The sequence below is a fragment of the Homo sapiens genome, chromosome 6 (assembly GCF_000001405.40).
Source record: "Homo sapiens chromosome 6, GRCh38.p14 Primary Assembly".
NCBI lineage: Eukaryota > Metazoa > Chordata > Mammalia > Primates > Hominidae > Homo > Homo sapiens.
The window spans coordinates 16,260,338-16,279,503 of NC_000006.12; the positions used below are offsets into that span (position 1 = coordinate 16,260,338).

The 19,166-nt window shown below is 47.7% G+C and overlaps 1 protein-coding gene across 2 annotated transcripts in view, besides 4 other annotated features; it reads left to right on the forward strand.

Annotated features, from left to right (window-relative positions):
* GMPR (guanosine monophosphate reductase) overlaps positions 1 to 19,166 on the forward strand; it is a 56,963-nt gene that overhangs the window by 21,751 nt on the left and 16,046 nt on the right. For both annotated transcript variants that reach the window (NM_006877.4, XM_047418656.1), the window contains exons 5-6: positions 14,078 to 14,159; positions 18,447 to 18,553. In NM_006877.4, coding sequence (NP_006868.3) covers positions 14,078 to 14,159; positions 18,447 to 18,553 — 189 coding nt within the window. The remainder of the gene's footprint in view (positions 1 to 14,077; positions 14,160 to 18,446; positions 18,554 to 19,166) is intronic.
* Positions 2,013 to 2,512: an enhancer, noted in NCBI's record as "H3K4me1 hESC enhancer chr6:16262581-16263080 (GRCh37/hg19 assembly coordinates)". NCBI's record gives its function as "activates a minimal SCP1, AML or CMV promoter by ChIP-STARR-seq in primed H9 embryonic stem cells {active_cell/tissue: H9 hESC(primed)}" and the evidence as "EXISTENCE:reporter gene assay evidence [ECO:0000049][PMID:30033119]".
* Positions 3,552 to 4,122: an enhancer, noted in NCBI's record as "H3K27ac hESC enhancer chr6:16264120-16264690 (GRCh37/hg19 assembly coordinates)". NCBI's record gives its function as "activates a minimal SCP1, AML or CMV promoter by ChIP-STARR-seq in naive H9 embryonic stem cells {active_cell/tissue: H9 hESC(naive)}" and the evidence as "EXISTENCE:reporter gene assay evidence [ECO:0000049][PMID:30033119]".
* Positions 4,123 to 4,692: an enhancer, noted in NCBI's record as "OCT4-NANOG-H3K27ac hESC enhancer chr6:16264691-16265260 (GRCh37/hg19 assembly coordinates)". NCBI's record gives its function as "activates a minimal SCP1, AML or CMV promoter by ChIP-STARR-seq in naive H9 embryonic stem cells {active_cell/tissue: H9 hESC(naive)}" and the evidence as "EXISTENCE:reporter gene assay evidence [ECO:0000049][PMID:30033119]".
* Positions 16,981 to 17,275: an enhancer, noted in NCBI's record as "tiled region #9524; HepG2 Activating non-DNase unmatched - State 12:CtcfO". NCBI's record gives its function as "activates a minimal TATA promoter and a strong SV40 promoter by Sharpr-MPRA in HepG2 cells {active_cell/tissue: HepG2}" and the evidence as "EXISTENCE:reporter gene assay evidence [ECO:0000049][PMID:27701403]".

The window sequence follows — 19,166 nt, forward strand, 5'->3', positions numbered from 1 at the left end:
AGGTGGGAAGGCTAAACTGAAGAATTATTTCTGACAGAAGGGAGGAAATGACTGTGGTGGCCTTCTCAGACCCTGTAGGAAAGGCCTGTACTTATCCAGTGAAAGTGTCTACCTAGACTAAGAGGTATTTTAGTTATCTGACTCGGGGCATGTCGAGTAAAGCTAATTTGCCAGTCCTGGGTGGGGGCAAATCCTCGAGCTTGATGTGTGGGGAAGGGAAGGGGCCTGAATAATCCTTGAGGAGTAGTAGAATAGCAGATGGAACACTGAGAAGTTATTTCCTTGAGGATAGATTTCTACGATGGAAAGAAAATGAGAGGTTCTAAGAGGCGGGCTAGTGGCTTGTACTATAGCATAGCCTGCCTTTGCTGGTGTGTGGCGATTAGGCCTGGTGGAACTGCCATCAATAAATCAAGCGTGATCAGGGTGAGGAACGGCAAAGAAGGAAATATGGGGAAATGGAGTGAATGTCAGGTGGATCAGAGAGATACAGTCATGGGGGTCAGGTGTGGTATCAGGAATAACGTGGGAGGGTGGATTGAAGTCCGGGCCAGGAACAATGGTAATTGTGGGACTTAACAAAGAGTGAGTACAGCTGAAGGAGCCGGGGAGCAGAAAGTATATGCGTCAGGTATGAGGAAGAAAATAGATTTTGGAAGTTATGAGAAATGTAGAGAGTAAGTTGAGCATAGTTTGTGATTTTGAGGGCCTCTAAAAGTATTAGGACGGCGGCAGCCGCTGCACGGAGACATGATGGCTAGGCTAAAACAGTAAGGTCAAGTTGTTTGCACAGAAAGGCTACAGGGTGCGGTCCTGGCTCTTGTGTAAGAATTCTGACTGCACTAACCATGCCTAGGAAGGAAAGGAGTTGCTGTTTTGTAAGGAATTGAGGTTTGGGAGATTAATTGGACACTATCAGCAGGGAAAGCACGTGTGTTTTTATAAGAATTATGCTTAGATAGGTAACAGATAAGGAGAAAATTTGGGCTTGACTGAAGTAATGGGGGCTGTCTGTGAAGCTTTGCAACAGTACAGCCCAGGTAATTTGCTGAGCCTGACGGGTGTCAGGGTCAGTCCAAGTGAAAGCGAAGAGAGGCTAGGAGGACAGGTGCAAAGGAATAGTAAAGAAAGCATGTTTGAGATCCAGAACAGAATAATGGACTGTGGAGAGAGGTATTGAGGATAGGAGAGTATATGGGTTTGGCACCATGGGGTGGATAGGCAAAACAATTTGGTTGATAAGGCGCAGATCCTGAACTAACTTGTAAGGCTTGTCTGGTTTTAGGACAGGTAAAATGGGGGAATTATAAGGAGAGTTTATAGGCTTTAAAAGGCCATGCTGTAGCAGGCGAGTGATAACAGGCTTTAATCCTTTCAAAGCATGCTGTGGGATGGGATCTTGGCATTGAGCAGGGTAAGGGTTATTAGGTTTTAATGAGATGGTAAGGGGTGCATGATCGGTCACCAAGGAGGGAGTAGAGGTATCTTATATTTGTGGGTTAAGGTTGGGGGATACAAGAGGAGGACACAAAGGAGGCTTTGGATTGGGAAGAAGGGCGGCAATGAGATGTAGCTGTAATCCAGGAATAGTCAGGGAAGCAGATAATTTAGTTAAAGTGTCTCGGCCTAATAAGGGAACTGGGCAGGTGGGGATAACTAAAAAGGAGTGGTTAAAAGAGTAACGTCTAAGTGGGCACTAGAGTTGGGGGATTTTAAGAGGCTTAGAAGCCTGGCCGTCAATACCTATAACAGTTATGGAGGCAAGGGAAACAGGCCCTTGAAAAGAAGGCAATGTGGAGTGGGTAGCCTCCGTATTGATTAAGAAGGGGACAGACTTACCCTCCACTGTGAGAGTTACGCGAAGCTCGGCATCCGTGATGGTCTTGTAGGGGGCTTCCGAGGCGATCGGGCAGCATCAGTCTTCAGCCGCTAAGCCAAGAAGATGTGGGAAGCAGTCAGAGAGCCTTGGGCCAGAATTCCAGGGGCGCTGGGAGTGGCTGCCAGGTGAGTTAGACAGTCCGATTTCCAGTGGGGTCCCGCACAGATGGGACTCAGCTTAGGAGGAATCCTGGGCTGCAGGCATTCCTTGGCCTGGTGGCCAGATTTCTGGCACTTGTAGCAAGCTCCTGGGGGAGGAGGTTCTGGAGGAACGCCTGGCTGCTGCGGTTCAGGCGTTTGGAAGTTCTTGTGTGCTGGAGATGTGGCTGGGGTTTGTCTCACAGTGGAGGCAAGGAATTGCAACTTTTCTCTATTATTGTACACCTTGAAGGCGAGGTTAATTAAATCCTGTTGTGGGGTTTGAGGGCTGGAATTTAATTTTTGGAGTTTTCTTTAATGTCGGGAGCAGATTGGGTAATAAAGTGTATTTTGAGAATAAGACGGCCTTTTGAACTTTTAGGGTCTAGGGCTGTAAAGCGTCTCAGGGTTGCTGCCAAACGAGCCATGAACTGGGCTGGATTTTTATATTTGATGAAAAAGAGCCTAAACGCTATCCGATTTGGGATAAAGAAAAAGGAGCATTAACCTTGACTATGCCTTTAGCTCCAGCCACCTTTTTAAGAGTAAATTGCTGGGCAGGTGGGGAGGGCTAGTCACGGAACGAAACTGTAAGCCAGACTGTGTGTGAGGAGGGGAGGTGATAAAAGGATTATAGGGTGGAGGAGCGGAGGCTGAGAAAGAATTGGGACCTAGCTCGGCCTGGCGAGGAGCAGCCTGGGGAGGAGGGGAGAGGTCAGATGAGTCTGTAGAAAAGGAAGATTAGAAAGACTCAGCGACGCTTGGGGTTGGGACTGAGGGGACAGGCGGGAGGGAAAGGAGGAAGATTTGGGACGAGTTGCATTGGGAACAGAGACTAGAGAGGGACCGATGTGTAAAAGAATGCCTGGATGTCAGGCACCTCAGACCATTTGCCCATTGTACGACAAGAATTATTTAGATCTTGTAGGATGGAAAAATTGAAAGTGCCATTTTCCGGCTATTTGGAACTACTGTCGAGTTTGTATTGGGGTCAAGCAGCACTGCAGAAGAAAATAAGATGCTTAGATTTTAGGTCAGGTGAGAATTGAAGAGGTTTTAAGTTTTTTGAGGACACAGGCTAAGGGAGAAGAAGGAGGAATGGAGGGTGGAAGGTTGCCCATAGTGAAGGAAGCAAGCCTAGAGAAAAGAGAGTAGAGACACGGAGGGAAGGGGTTCAGGGGTTCTTACCTTCCAGAAAAGCGGGAAAGGGGTTGGGGCGTGGAAATAAGGGGTTGGGATGCAGAGATAAGAGGTCGGGTTGCAGAGATAAGAGGTCGGGGCACGGAAATAAGGGATGGGGTGCAGAGATAAGAGGTCAGGGCACAGAAATAAGGGATTGGGGTGCAGAGATAAGAGGTCAGGGCACAGAAATAAGGGATTGGGGTGCAGAGATAAGAGGTCAGGGCACAGAAATAAGGGATTGGGGTGCAGAGATAGGTCAGGGCACAGAAATAAGGGATTGGGGTGCAGAGATAAGAGGTCGGGGCACAGAAATAAGGGATTGGGGCACAGAGATATAAGAGGTTGGGGTACATGCCCCTCCTCTAGAAAAGTGGGACTTGCCGCTAAGTGTGAAGGAGAAGGGGTTGGGGGTTTCTTGCCCCCCAGAAAGGCGGAGAAGGGATAGAGACACGGAGAGAAGGGATTAGGGTACTTGCCCCTTCCCCAGAAAAGCAGGACTTGCCGCTAAGGGTGAAGGACCAAGGCAGGCATCCCTGCGTGGTCTGACACCTCTGAAACCCGGTAGAATAATCAGAGGTGTCCCTGCAATGATTAAACACCAAGGGAAGGCTGCCTTCCCTAGTCTGTGACCGGCGCCGGAGTTTTGAGTCCGTGGATAAAACGTGTCTCCTTTATCTCTACCAGAAAATGAAAGGAATTGAAATTAAAAGAAGGGAGAGATTGAAGTGTGGCGCCAAGATTGAAAGGAGAGAGGCTGAGGGATAGTGAGGGAGGTTGGAGAAGAGAGTAAAAAGAGGCCGCTTACCGGATTTGAAATTGGTGAGATGTTTCTTGGGCTGGTCGGTCCGAGGACCTGAGGTCGTAGGTGGATCTTTCGCAAAGAGCAGGAGGACAGGGGATTGATCTCCCAAGGGAGGTCCCCCGATCTGAGTCACGGCACCAAATTTCATGTGCGTCCGTGTGAAGAGACCACCAAACAGGCTTTGTGTGAGCAACATGGCTGTTTATTTCACCTGGGTGCAGGCGGGCTGAGTCCGAAAAGAGAGTCAGCGAAGGGAGATAGGGGTGGGGCCGTTTTATAGGATTTGGGTAGGTAAAGGAAAATTACAGTCAAAGGGGGGGTTGTTCTCTGGTGGGCAGAGTGGGGGTCACAAGGTGCTCAGTAGGGGAGCTTTTGAGCCAGGATGAGCCAGGAGAAGGAATTTCACAAGACAATGTCATCAGTTAAGGCAGGAACAGGCCATTTTCACTTCTTTTGTGGTGGAATGTCATCAGTTAAGGCAGGAACCGGCCATCTGGATGTGTACATGCAGGTCACAGGGGATATGATGGCTTAGCTTGGGCTCAGAGGCCTGACACCTTTCACCTAAGATGGGCCTTGCCACATAGGGGTAGGAGAACAGGGATTTTTAGAGAACACCTTTGTCAGAAAAGGTCCTATTGAGGGGCTGGCTGATTGAAGAGTATACCAAGTCCTGTGGCCATTTGCCTGGTGGCTTTCAGGGAGGAAAGAGAATAATGTGTTCTCGGGTACATTCTCAGTACTGTGTAAAAAGGCACTAGCACAGACTAGGCACTTCTTTGTTAAAAAAAAGTTTGTAGAAACAGAATATTGCAGTGTTGACCAGGGTGATCTCAAACTCCTGACTTCAAGTAGTCCTCCTACCTCTGCCTCCTAAAGTGCTGAAATTACAGGCATGAATCACCATACCTGGCCAGAATTTCTTTTCTAATAACAAATCTTTGAGTAGAGGTAATAGCACCTACTTTTGTTGATGTAAAACTTAGTCCTAGAGAGCTCAGGGAGCCTTCTGAGGGTTACACCACTAGTGAGAGCTGGACCTGGCATTTAGGGCTAGGTGGCTTGCCTGAGCCTGCAAATTTTTGCTGTTGTCCCCCACATGCCACCAGTTCAGGCTTGCTGGTGAGAGGTGAAGCCAGCTTGACTTTCTGGGTCCAGTGGGGACTTGGAGAACTTTTCTGTCTAGCCTAGAGGATTGTAAATGCATCAGTCAGTGCTCTGTGTCTAGCTAAAGGATTGTAAATGCTCCAATCAGCACTCTGTAAAAATAGCACCAAGCAGCGCTGTGTCTAGCTAAAGCAGCACTGTGTCTAGCTAAAGCAGCGCTGTGTCTAGCTAAACGCACCAATCAGCACTCTGTAAAAACACACCACTCCGCACTCTGTTAAATGGACCAATCAGCAGGATGTGGGCGGGGCCAAATAAGGGAATAAAAGCTGGCTGCTGGAGCCAGCCCGGATAACCCACTCCGGAACCCTTCCACGCCATGGAGGTTTTCTTCGTTCGCTTGCTGCTGCTCGCTCTTTGGGTCCACGCGACGTTTATGAGCTGTAACACTTACTGCAAAGATGTGCAGTTTCACTCCTGAAGTCAGTGAGACCACGAAGCCACCCGCCGGGAGAAAGGAACAATTGTGGATGTGCAACCTTTAAGAGCTGTAACACTCACCGTGAAGGTCTGTGGCTTCACTGCTGAAGTCAGTGAGACCACGAACCCAGTGGGAGGAATGAACAACTCCCGACGGGCTACCTTTAAGAGCTGTAACACTTGCCATCTTTAAGAGCTGTAACACTTGCCATCTTTAAGAGCTGTAACACTTGCCATCTTTAAGAGCTGTAACACTTGCCATCTTTAAGAGCTGTAACACTCGCTGCGAAGAATGAAGAACGCCGCGCGCACCACCTTTAAGAGCTGTAACACTCACTGCGAAGGTCTGAGGCTTCATTCCTGAAGTCAGTGTAGACCATGAACCCACGAGGAGGAACGAACAACTCTGGGTGCGCCACCTTTAAGAGCTGTAACACTCACTGTGAAAAAGGTGGCACGTCGGACGTGCCACCTTTAAGAGCTGTAACACTCACTGTGAAAAAGGTGGCACGTCGGACGTGCCACCTTTAAGAGCTGTAACACTTCCTGTGGAAAAGGTGGCACGTCCGACGTGCCACCTTTAAGAGCTGTAACACGGCTGGGCGCGGTGGCTCACGCCTGTAATCCTGGCACTTTGGGAGGCCGAGATGGGTGGATCACCAGGTCAGGAGATCATAACCATCCTGGCTAACACGGTGAAACCCCATCTCTACTAAAAGTACAAAAAAAAGAAAAAATTAGCCGGGCGCAGTGGCGGGCGCCTGTAGTCCCAGCTACTCGGGAGGCTGAGGCAGGAGAATTGCATGAACCTGGGAGGGGGAGCTTGACGGCACTCCGGCCTAGGTGAGAGCGAGACTCCGTCTCAAAAAACAAACAAACAAAAAAAGAGCTGTAACACTCACTGTGAAGGTCGTGGCTTCACTCCTGAAGTCAGCGAGACCACGAACCGTCCGGGAGGAACGAACAACTCCGGACGTGCCACCTTTAAGAGCTGTAACACTCACTGCAAAGGTCTGCGGCTTCACTCCTGAAGTCGGCGTAGACCATGAACCCACGAGGAGGAACGAACAACTCTGGGTGCGCCACCTTTAAGAGCTGTAACACTCCCTGCGAAAAAGGTGGCACGTCGGACGTGCCACCTTTAAGAGCTGTAACATGGCCGGGCGCTGTGGCTCACGCCTGTAATCCCGGCACTTTGGGAGGCCGAGGTGGGCGGATCACCAGGTCAGGAGATCATGACCATCCTGGCTAACACGGTGAAACCCTATCTCTACTAAAAGTACAAAAAAAAGAAAAAATTAGTCGGGTGCAGTGGCGGGCGCCTGTAGTCCCAGCTACTCGGGAGGCTGAGGCAGGAGAATTGCATGAACCTGGGAGGTGGAGCTTGCAGTGAGCCGAGATCGCGCCACTGCACTCCGGCCTGGGTGAGAGGGAGACTCCGTCTCAAAAAACAAAGAGCTGTAACACTCACTGTGAAGGTCTGTGGCTTCACTCCTGAAGTCAGCGAGACCACGAACCGTCCGGGAGGAATGAACAACTCCGGACGGTGCCACTTTTAAGAGCTGTAACACTCACTGCAAAGGTCTGCGGCTTCACTCCTGAAGTCAGCAAGACCATGAACCCACCAGAAGGAAGAAACTCCGGACACATCTGAACATCTGACGGAACAAACTCCGGACACGCCATCTTTTAAGAATTGTAACACTCACCGCAGCCGAAGGTCTGTGGCTCCAGCGAGACCAAGAACCCACCGGAAGGAACCAATTCCAGACATACTGGGACTTGGAGGTCCCTGTGTTGGCTCTGGGAGATGCTTTTGTGCTGGTGGCTCTTTCTGATCTGGTCTGGAGGAAATAGGTGCCTGAGATCTAATGTGTTCAGATTAGATAGAGGCCAAGCTCTACTCCCCTGGGGCAATGCCGTGTCAGCTGCTGCGGGCAGATCTCCGGGAGCCATGGGCTGGATCTCCAGGGCGGGACCCTGACATTTCCATGCATGACTGATGGCTCATTGGCCTGCCCACATTCTTTCTCAAGGTTCTGAGCCACACAGATGTTTCCGCTGTACGCCTCTTCACAGAGAGGCGGACACATTGAATGTTCCTTGAAAGCTTGGGGCAGGTCTGGGGCCTCACCATTCAAGTGTCCCTCCCCTGAGGTACAAGGGGTGTGTATGGCTGAGAGCACCTCTCAGGCCGTGTTCCCTGGATTTTCTGTATTCACCCACTTTCTGGAACCATGGCTGAAAGCTACAAAGGTGATGTTCTCTCTGAAGAGTCACATAATAAACTCAGTTTAACATGGCTGTTGCCTGGATAGCAACTATTTTTCCATGGGCAGGTAGTGGGACATTTTCCACGTGCTTGGGAACAGTCACTGGGGTTGATACTCCTCTTTTTTGTTGTTGTTGAGATGGACTCTCACTCTGTTGCCCAGGCTGGAGTGTGGTGGCACGATCTTGGCTAACTGCAGTCTCCGCCTCCCAGGTTCAAGTGATTCTCCTGAGTAGCACACCTGGTTAATTTTTGTATCTTTAGTAGAGACGAGGTTTTGCCATATTGGCCAGGCTGGTCTCGAACTCCTGACCTCAGGTGATAACACCTGTCTCAGCCTCCCAAAGTGTTGGGATTACAGGCGTGAGCCACCGCGCCTGCCGATATTTCTCTTTTTATGTTAGGGGTTGGCACATCACAGCCTGTGGGCCAAATCTAGCCGCCTGCTGCCTGTTTGCCAACCCTTGCCTTTTATCATCCTATGGAAAGGATTTTTCTTGCAAGAGGACCCCAGAAAAACCAGTAAAAAGTGGTTACTGTTTAATGGGTACAGAATTTCAGTTTGAGATGATTAAAAAGTTCCAGAGATGGATAATGGTGATGGTTGTACAACAGTGTGAATGTACTCAATGCCACTGAACTGTACACCTAAAAACTTATTTACTAACAAATTTTATATTACATAAATTTAAAATAAATATGAATTATTTTAAATTAAAAATTTTAAATAAATTTAAATTTTTTATTTATTTTTAGGTGTACAGTTCAGTGGCACTAAGTCCCTTCACGAAAAAAATAAAAATTATTTAAAAAACAAAAATTTTATTTCTGTTTTCTATGTGTAAAATTTACACCTAGTAAATTTTATGTGTATTTGACCACAATTACAAAAAAACTAAAAAGAATGGGTAAAGGAGCAATATACAGAAAGTACTTTTAAATGGAGGGACTAACATTTATAAAGCACCACCAAGAGCTGGGCCCTGTGCTAAGAATTTGAGAGAACTTTCTTTGTAAACCTTTTAAGGACTAAAAGTGGGTACATCCACCCCCATTTTATAGCAGGATAAATGGAGACTCTGGTTGAAGTGATTTGCTCAAAAGTACCCAGTAATGAGGGAGGTCTAGCATTCGACCCCAGATCTTTCCGAACTTATTTTGCCATAGATGTTGAGGCCTAAAGGAAAGCTGGAAAAATTGGGGCAAAGCAGTTTTTGTTTTTATTTTTGCCCAGAGACCTTTTGTCATCAGTTCTGTTCAGGCTGCAATAACAAGATACCATAAACTGAATAGCTTATATTATAAAAATCAGAAGTTGGCCTGGTGTGGTGGCTCATACCTGTAATCCTACCACTTTGGGAGGCCAAGACAGGCAGATTGCGTGAGCCCAGGAGTTTGAGACCAGCCTGGCCAACATGGAGAAACCCCATCTCTACTAAAAATACAAAAAATTAGCTGGGCGTGGTGTCACATGCCTGTAGTCCCAGCTACTCGGGAGGCTGAGGTGGGAGGATCACCTGAGCCTGGGAAGTTGAGGTTACAATGAGCTGTGATTGCGCCATTGCACTCCAGCCTGGGTGACAAAGTGAGACCCTGTCTCAAAAATAAATAAATAAATAATACAAATCAGAAGTTTATTTTCACAGTTCTGAAGGCTGGGAAGTCCAGTATCAAGGCAGATTCGGTATCTGGTGAGGGCCGGCTTCCTGGCTCATAGATAGATGGCCATCTTTTCATTGTCACCTCATGTGGATCTCTCTCAGTCCTCTCTTAGACGGCCACTAATCCCATTGTTGGGGGCTCTGCCCCCATGACCTACCTAATTCACCTCCCCAAATCCCCACCTGCTAATATCACCACCTTGGGAATAAAGATTTCAACACTTTAATTTTGGAGGGACGTAAACATTCAGACCATACCAACTTTTTAAAAAATGGTACAAAAGTACTTGAAGTCTTGGCTTGGCCACTTTTTATGTCTTTTCCATGACCTTCAACCTCTCCTTGACACAGAATTGTTGCCTTCCAGAGCATGGGGGAGCCCAAAACATGCTTGGCTTCCCTAGGAAGAGGGGTTGCCTATCAGAAACCTCCATCTGCCTGCCTCAGTGCTCTGGACAAGGGTTCATTGCTTCCATGTTGTCATGGCTGCCCAAGAAATGAACCTGCATGAACTGCCTGGGTGACTGAGCCTGCTGTGCTGCTACGCACAGTCCCATTCTGACAGTCCTGTATCCGCTCCACACCCAAGGTGCTTCATGACAAGATAAAGTAGACTCCTCACTTAATCACCCTGACCAGCTGCTTCCTGGCCCCTGTTATCACACCCCATTCCCAGAGGCTGCTCGAGGGCACACCGGGGACTTCACTAAAGCCTGACCACACTCCTGTCATATTCTCATTTCTGATTTGGTCTTTTCCTCTTTTCCCTTATTTTGCCCTTCTTGATTTCAAACTTGAATTGACAGCTTTTTGTTCCTGCCAATGGAAACTCCCCCGTCCTCCTGGAAGCATTCTTGCTGTGCTGTCCCTCATGGTTGAGGCATTTCATAATCACTTTGGGTTTTTCCAGACAGTAGCAGTGACCACATTTGGACCATGGACAGATTCAGCAGCCACACAGGTAGCTGATGGGATGGAGAGACATTTGCACAAGCTTCTGGGTTACTAAAGCGGCGTCAGCCTTCTTGATGTTTTTAAGCTGACTTTGGCCAGTTGAGGTGGCTCATACCTGTAATCCCAGCACTTTGGGAGGCAGAGGTGGGGGGATTACTTGAGGCCAGGAGTTAGAGACCAGCCTGGGCAACATAGCAAGGCCCTATCTCTGCTTTAAAAATAATTAAATAAGTAACTAGAACTTACTTTGACTCTACCGGGTTGTACCTGGTACGTCTATGGTGAGCTGACTTGAATTAATCTATTTTATCTAAAGTAGCCCCTTAAAAATAAAATGGTTCGCAGGTGGCGCCAGATTGGGGAAAAGAAATCCACATTGAAAATGAAATTGTGGCCGGGCGCAGTGGCTCATGCCTGTAATCCCAGCACTTTGGGAGGCTGAGGCAGGCAGATTGCTTGAGCTCAGGAGCTTGAGACCAGCCTAGGCAACAAGGCGAAACTCTGTCTCTACAGAAAATACAAAAATTAGCTAGGCGTGGTGGCACATACCTGTAATCCCAGCTGCTTGGGAGGCTGAGGCAGGAGAATCGCTTGAGCCTGGGAAGTTCAGGCTGCGGCGAGCCATGTTTGTGCCATTGCACTCCCGTCTGGGAGACAAGAGTGAGACCCTGTCTCAAAAAGAAAAAAGAAAACAAAATGTGTGGTGGGCTTAGAGTAGCTTCTCTAAAGTTTTTGTGGTTTTGTTTGGTTGTTTAGCAAGTCAGCCACTTGGGAAGAACTGGAGCTCGCGCCCTGCTTCTTAGGCTCCTGTTAGGTTCTCTGTCAGGGACAGAGCTCATGCTGTTCCTCGCACTATAAAAAACAAAACTACACACTCCTGCCCCCATTATAATTATAAAAGTAACACACTTTCTAGTATAAAATCTAGAAAAGATTAAAGAAGAAACAAAAAAAAGTTTGATCATCTCTTCACCTAGACATCATCTGTTAGCATTTTGGTGTATTTTTTCATACACACATACACTTTTTTTAATAACAAAATTGAGATCTTTCTATTTCTCCCAACATTATACTGAAAGCATTTAAGCATTTTTCCCATGCTGTCAAACCACTCTTAGGCTGGGTGCGGTGCCTCACACCTGTAATTGCAGCACTTTGGGAGGCCAAAGTGGGCAGATCACCTGAGGTCAGGAGTTTGAGACCAGCCTGGCCAACTTGGTGAAACCCCATCTCTACTAAAAATACAAAAATTAGCCAGGCAGTGGGGGCGTGTGCCTGTAATACCAGCTACTAGGGAGGCTGAGGCAGGAGAATCACTTGAACCCTGGAGGCAGAGGTTGCAGTGAGATCATGCCACTGCACTCCAGTCTGGGTGACAGAGCAAGACTCCATCTCAAAAGCAAAACAAAACAAAAAACAAAAAAAACACTCTTAAAAACATCACATGGATAGGTCATAAGTTGTTGGATCATTCCATTTTGGGGAATATATTTACAGTTCTGCACTGTTACAGATAATACATCTTTGTAGTTAAATGTTTGTCCACACTTATGATTATTTCCTTGGCAGAGAATCTTAGAAGAATTATTGAATACAAGGAAGTGCATATTTCTTTTATATGGACAAACGGCTTTCTGGGAAAACTCATACTACAATAAATTTTCCCAAAAGAAATAGAGATTCCATCTGATGTTTTCTCTACAGTATTTACTGTTTACAACTATTGATAATTTGTTAAGTGAAAAGTAGTACCTCATTGGTACCTTAGTTTACATTTGGTTATTCAGGAGGTTGAACACTTTCCGTTTTTCTCAGCCACTTTTATTTCTTTCAATAGTGTGTTCCTGTCCTTTGGCACTTACTCTGTGAGGTATTAGCGTTTTTCTTATAGGTTTGTAAGAGCTCTTATTATGTTAAGGATAATAACACTTTGTCAAAATTGTAGATATTTTTCTCTACCTGGGTATTTGTTGATTGTATGAATATCTGTGTTTATGTGTATGTCAGTTTTTTTTCTTTTTTCTTTTTTTTACATAGAGATGGGATTTTGCCATGTTGCCCAAGCTCGTCTCAAACTCCTGGGCTCGAGCAATCCACTTACCTCAGCCTCCCAAGTGCTGTGGTTATAGGCGTGAGCCACTGCACTTGGCCAAGTTTTTAGTTTTTATGTAGACAGCTCTGTCATTATGTTTTTTCACTTTTATGCTTATTGAAAGTATTCAAGGTTTCCTTCTGAATTTGGGGAGTATAACTTTAATTTTAATTCTTTAATCTACCTCTAGTCCTCTTTCTGGGCCATCTGTGATTTTTCCATTGTCAGCTACTGTTTGGATTAAAGCTTTAAGCCCTCCTCATCACCTTTTCCCCACATCCTTTTATATGAAGTTAAAAGTCACTTTGTCTACGTTAAAAAAGAAAAATTCCCTCTGGGAAGCAATTCAGAGAGAAGACACTTGGACTTCAGTGCAAAAGACATGAGTGGAATGAGTAAGGATTCATTTTGCAAAATATGACTTTGCACAGTTGTGAAAACTCAGCCAGGGCATCTTGCCAAGTATCCTATATACTGGCTGAAGAATCCACAGGGCAGTGAGTTGTAATAAAAAGGGCTATTTTTGCACTCCTACACTCCTGCAGTGAAAGAGCTTGTACTGTTTCCAAACCAGACACATCCTTCTGGTTGATAGATTCTGCCACTTCCTGGAGGCTTGTGTGTTCTTAGGCCAAAGCTTCATGTTCTGTAAACTGAGCACGTGCTGATGCTATGTGGTCCATGAGGGCTCATCTGCCCTTTCCTGTCTAGATGGGAATCCCAGCCCTAGAGAGTGGGGCACACTGCTATTTTCTTAACTGCGTTTTCTAATTCTGACTCTCTGGGGTTCCATAAAGATTCTTCAGGGGCTTTGCAAACTGTGAAACATTTTTTTGCCCAACACTAAAGATATTAATTACCAAGAGTGTTTCATTGCTGACTTTTTGTATTTGGGGGTCCCTCTAAGATTTTTTTTTTTTTTTTTTTTTTGAGACAGAGTCTTGCTCTGTCGTCCAGGCTGGAGTACAGTGGTGCCATCTTGGCTCACTGCAGCCTCTGCCTCCCGGGTTCAAGTGATTGTCCTGCCTCAGCCTCCTGAGTAACTAGGACTACAGGCATGCGCCACCAGGCCCAGCTAGTTTTTGTATTTTTAGTAGAGACAGGGTTTCACCATGTTGGCCAGGATGGTCTCAATCTCTTGACCTCATGATCTGCCTGCTTCGGGCTCCCAAAGTACTGAGATTACAGGCGTGAGCCACCAAGCCCAGCCTCCTCTAAGATTTTTGTTGTTGTTGTTGATTGCTGAGATGTCTGAAAAGCCCTGACCTGGACTCTCTAAGATCTCTTCTAGTTCTTAAATCATATAATGCTGTATCTTCTCATGCCAACAGCTCACCCAAGGGGCCTTTCCCAAAAGTGGTCTCCAGGTATGAAATTCTGTGTTCCTTTTTTGTCCCCCAGCTGCCTGGTGGCTTTAGGACATGCACATCCTCGTGTTCAGGTGTGGGGTTCCTCACCTTTATACCAGCAATAGTAGTTCATGATCATCAGCTGTATTCTTTCTGTCTCAGGCAGGGAACGTGGTGACAGGAGAAATGGTAGAAGAGCTTATTCTTTCCGGAGCAGATATCATCAAAGTGGGAGTTGGACCAGGTAAGACTTGTTAGGAGCACAGCAGAGGACGTGTGTGGGGAAGAATGGGATCTGGGGCTTGCGGGGACTGCAGATCACTGGAGGGGATGCATGAATGACTCATTCACAGATATTTAAAGCATGCTTTTTCTGGAAGCATAATTGAGCTTCTCGGGGAAGCCCCTGATGAAAAGTATTGTTGAGCTGCTTTTTGATGCCCCCAGGGATTTTCTAAATTATGGTTAGAATATATGGATGTGGTCAGAATATGAGGGCTTGGTTTCAGAACCAATGTGGAAGAATGTAGATTTCACTAATGACCCCATACACCTTGCAGAGGAAGGCGATAGGTGAAGAATCCATAGAGACAGTTAATAAACATGAATGACTCCAGTTTATGTGAATGTTTGAGGGACCCCAAACATTGCAAATAAGCTTGCAGTGATGAGGCCACATTCAAACTTGACCCATGGCCTAGGTAATGATCACCTTTGGTTACTCACCTGATACGTATTAGATGTAGATTTTGCCCATGTTCTTCTCCCAGGCATGCTTTCTTAGGACCACCCATTGGCATCTTAAGCAGAAGAACGAGGTAGAGCCTTCTGTCCTTGTCATGGGTGGCGCCATTTTCTCATGGGGCAGGGTTACTGTTCGCTTTCCTTCTTTGCCCTGCTTGAAGATGAGCTGCCATGTTTTAAATTCATCCGTGCACATCCAGTATTAACCAGACACTAAAATTGAGGAGCAAGAAAGAATATACACATTTTCACTTGGGACTGAAAAACAGCAAAGATTTTTCAAAAGAATCTCATACCCAAATGACACTACCAAAAAAGGAAGCAAACCTAAACCAATATGAGAGGAATCTGTGGGAAAACGCACAGCTGGGAGGCGCAGGAGACGCTGTTGAGCTGTGACTTGGCTCCGTGATCAGCCTGAGGGAATTGGATGTGTATGAAGAGAATATTAGGAAGAAGAACCCTGTAGATTCGTAAAAATACCCAAGCTTTTAACATACAGGGAGATTTTCAAGGTTAAGTTTTTCATATTGCCACTCATTTAAGCCAGTTAATAATGTATTCTGAGCAAATGGGAAGAGGTCTTTACTGAGTATCTACCATTATTGAAAAGGCAAGAAAGGATAAGGCCTCGTTCTTCCTTTCCAGGCTGCCTCCTCTTAGGGCAGGCTGTAATAGACAGACTGATAATAGAACAAAATAGGCTAATAGATTAGGAAGACTCTTTTTAGTCCCAAAGGCAGGGACACTCACTAGTCACCTGTTTAATCAGAAATATGGGCCTGATGTGGTGGCTCACGCCTGGTCTCCCAGCACTTTGGGAGGCCAAGGTGGGTGGATCGCTTGAGCCCAGGAGTTTGAGACCAGCCTGGGCAACATGGTGAAACTCTGTCTCTACTAAAAATAGGAGATAAAAATTAAAAAGTAGTCAGGCACAGTGGTATGCACCTGTAGTCTCAGCTACTTGGGAGGCTAGGGTGGAACGATCAGCTGATCCTGGGAGGTGAAGGTTGCAGTAAGCTGAGATCGCACTACTGCACTCCAGTCTTGGTGATAGAGCAAGACCCTGTCTCAAGAAAAAAAAAAGGAAATATGTATTGAATGTTCACTGGCTACCATTGTGTTGGGCGGGTGCTGTACAGGATGTGAAGGTGTGTGAGAAGCTTCTTGGCTCTCAAAGCTTTATTTTTTTTGAGACAGTCTTGCTCTGTTGCCCAGGCTGGAGTGCAGTGGTGTGATCTCAGCTCACTGCAACCTTCGCCTCAGAGGTTCAAGTGATTCTTCTGCCTCAGCCTCCTGAGTAACTGGGATTACAGGCATGCACCACCATGCCCAGCTAATTTTTTGTACTTTTAGTGGAGACGGGGTTTCACCATGTTGGCCAGGCTGGTCTCGAACTCCTGGCCTCAGGTGATCCACCCGCCTTGGCCTCCCAACGTGCTGGGATTCCAGGTGTGAGCCACCACACCCGGCCCTCTCAAAGCTTTTCTAGATGTGGTCTCGAACATTTACTACACTTGTTTTCTTCTTGCACATCTCTGTGTCTGCATTCTATTTCCCCAGAAGCTGTATTGTCCTTCTGCTCTCACTGTATCTCCCCACCCCTCTGGCTGTCTGTGTAGGACAGATGTGACTAAAGAGAATAAGGGGCTTTCTCTGAGCCCAATGCATGGGAGCTACTTCTTTAAATTGTTTGGAGACCATATTTAAGTCTCACACATTCTTTATGGTAAAAACATTGCATATTACATATCTAAATGATAGCATTATTGGATGTCTATTGATTGATAGATTTCATTCATTATTGAGCAACTCCTGGGAACTGGGAAAAAGCATCAGAAACGGATTCCCTGCCCCTCTAGTCAAGAGAAAGTATGCACCAACTTCTTCTTTCACCTAGGTGTTAATCAGAACCGCCTGTGTGTTATTTGAAGCTTCTTCCTTGGCTGTTTCCAAGAAAGGCAATTGGTCTACCCTTTATAGAGCCCTCACTACTATCAGAACCCCAGGCCTACTGCAGCTGAGGCCCCCACCCCCGGATCTAGCAATTCAATGGGAGAGGAGGAGAAAAGCTGAGGCTGAACCGGGGGTTAAACCTTTTATTCTGCCGTGCACAACGTCTGGTTGCAGGGCGGGGGGAAGGCGCCTTCGTGGGAATGAGACTTCTTGGCTCCAGGACTGTGAGTGACACATAGCAGGACACAGGGAGCTACAGGACTTCTGTGGACTCTGCCCCACAGCTGATGCAGGAGAGGGGCTTGCCCTGTCTCTCCTGGTTTCTCTGCTAAATCCAGGCCTGGGGACACAGACATACTTCTCTGTCTGATCTTGTCCCTAAAGACCCCTGGCAGAAATTAGCATCCTACAAGGTGGTGCCGGCCAGGAGCCGGAGATTAGGCTGCGCCTCAAAGCATCCCACCCCCGGGTCTGGTGGGAGGGAGGAGTTCACTTCCACCTTTACCCTGTCCCCAGAGCGCCCTCTCGTGCACACCACAAGACCTCCGGGAGGGGCTGAGTGAGTGGCAGTGGAGACAGGGATGTGGGTGACTCATTCATTCTTGAGTCCACACATTCTTTCAGTGACTATTTATAGTGCCTTATTGTATATGAGGCTCTGTTCTCAGCACCTGATAACAACAGCGAATGTCCACGGAGCCGACCACCCAGTACAGAAGACAGACCCTTAACATTCTCACACAGATCCTGATTGAAATGCCTCTTTTTGAAACTGTGATGAACAACTCCCCTGGGGCAGTGACATTTAAGAAGAAGCTGGAAAGATGAGAAGGGTTTGGCTAGGCGGGCTGGTACAGAGGGGAGTGTCCAAGAGAGAGAACATTGTGTACAGAGTCCCTAAGGTGGGAAGAAACTTGCCCCATTGGAGAAGCAGTGGGGAGGGAGGGGAGCAGGTGGAGCTTGATTCTGCTGATCTGGGTAAAGTGGGGTGCTGTGGCGGCACCGGGAAGCTTGAATAAGGGGAGGTATGATAAAGAGGTCAGAGTGCGACTTGGCCTGGACCTAACTGGGAGAACAACCAGGACTGGGGCTGACCGTGGGACAGGCAGGCAGGAGGGTGCTGGTGTGAGCCCTGGCCTGGAAGTGAACCTCGGGCTAGGCTGCAAGGGACTTGAGGTGGGGCAGCCAGGAGGGAGATGGACAAACAGCTGGGCCCTGTGGAGCACAGAGCTGAGTGAGAGCAGGTGAGGGTATGGAGGGTGTCGTGCTGCAGGCCAGGCCCTGGGCCAAGCGGTATCCCTCCCTGTGCCATTTGTTCTCTGCCACAACCCCAGGAGGTTGTGTTTCTCTTTGGATTTTACAGGCCGGGCAGTGAGGCTTAAGAGAGGTGAGTCATTTGACAAAGGTTGAAGGTAAAGAAGCTACGAGCCAGTGGGAGGATTCTGAGAGGTCCTTTAAAGCAGAGTGTAGATTTGTAGAAAGGTGGAAAGGAGTGGGTGTTTAAGTGTGGAAAGGTCAGTGCCTGGCTATTGCATGGGAGCCAGTGCCACAGGGAGGAGTGGCAGTGACAGGTGCATGGTAGAGGGGAAGGCGATGTCTGGGACATCAGCCAGTGACAGTGATGAGGACCGGAGGGGGTGCATGACCAGGTGGTGTGGTTTACAGTGACCTCCATCGTGCAGATGGGGCAGCCTGTTCCCCACATCTCCTCTGCCACAGAGGTTCACCCTGGTCCCTAAAGCAGGGCTGCAAAGGTAAGGGGGACGCATTTCATGTCACAGTCTTCTCATGTATAACCATCTATTTGGGGACAACTTCTTTCTCTGTGCAGGTTCTGTGTGCACCACCCGCACCAAGACGGGAGTGGGGTACCCCCAGCTGAGTGCCGTCATTGAGTGTGCCGACTCTGCCCATGGCCTGAAGGGCCACATCATCTCTGTGAGTCTCCACCCGGGGCTGAGGCTGGGGTGTCTTGGGAGGCCCCTGCTCCCTCGCTGCTCTTCTTTCACTGGCTGGGCATCCTGTGGGCATGGGAGGGAGCTGGGCACTGCGGTCACAGCGCTGACATTCAGCAGAAACAGAGGCCCTGCTGCCCACGGATTCCACAGTGAGGGTGGCAGGCCCAGTAGGCAGAAGCCATACAAGCAGGTGGGTGGTCCATCTGATGAGGGATGTGCAGGCAGCTTTCAGAGCACAGGGTAGGCCAGGCCACAGCTTGCTAGAACAGTTGTAATAAAGCCCCACAGACTGGGGGCTTCAATTTCAGTGTCTCACCATTCTGGAGACGAGAAGCCCAACATCAGGGTGTTGGGGGGGGCATGCTCCCTCTCAGGGCCCCAGGGAAGGATCTGTTGCAGGCCTCTCTGTGACCTTCTGCTGGTTCCTTAGCTTGTGGCGTCCTCTGTGTGTGTGTCTCTGTGTGCAAACATCCCCTTTTCCTGAGGATACTAGTCCTTTCAGATCAGGGGCCACCCTCCTCCAGGATGTCCGCATCTTAACTGATGACGTGTCCATTGTTCCTGTTTCCAAATAAGGTCACATTCTGAGATGC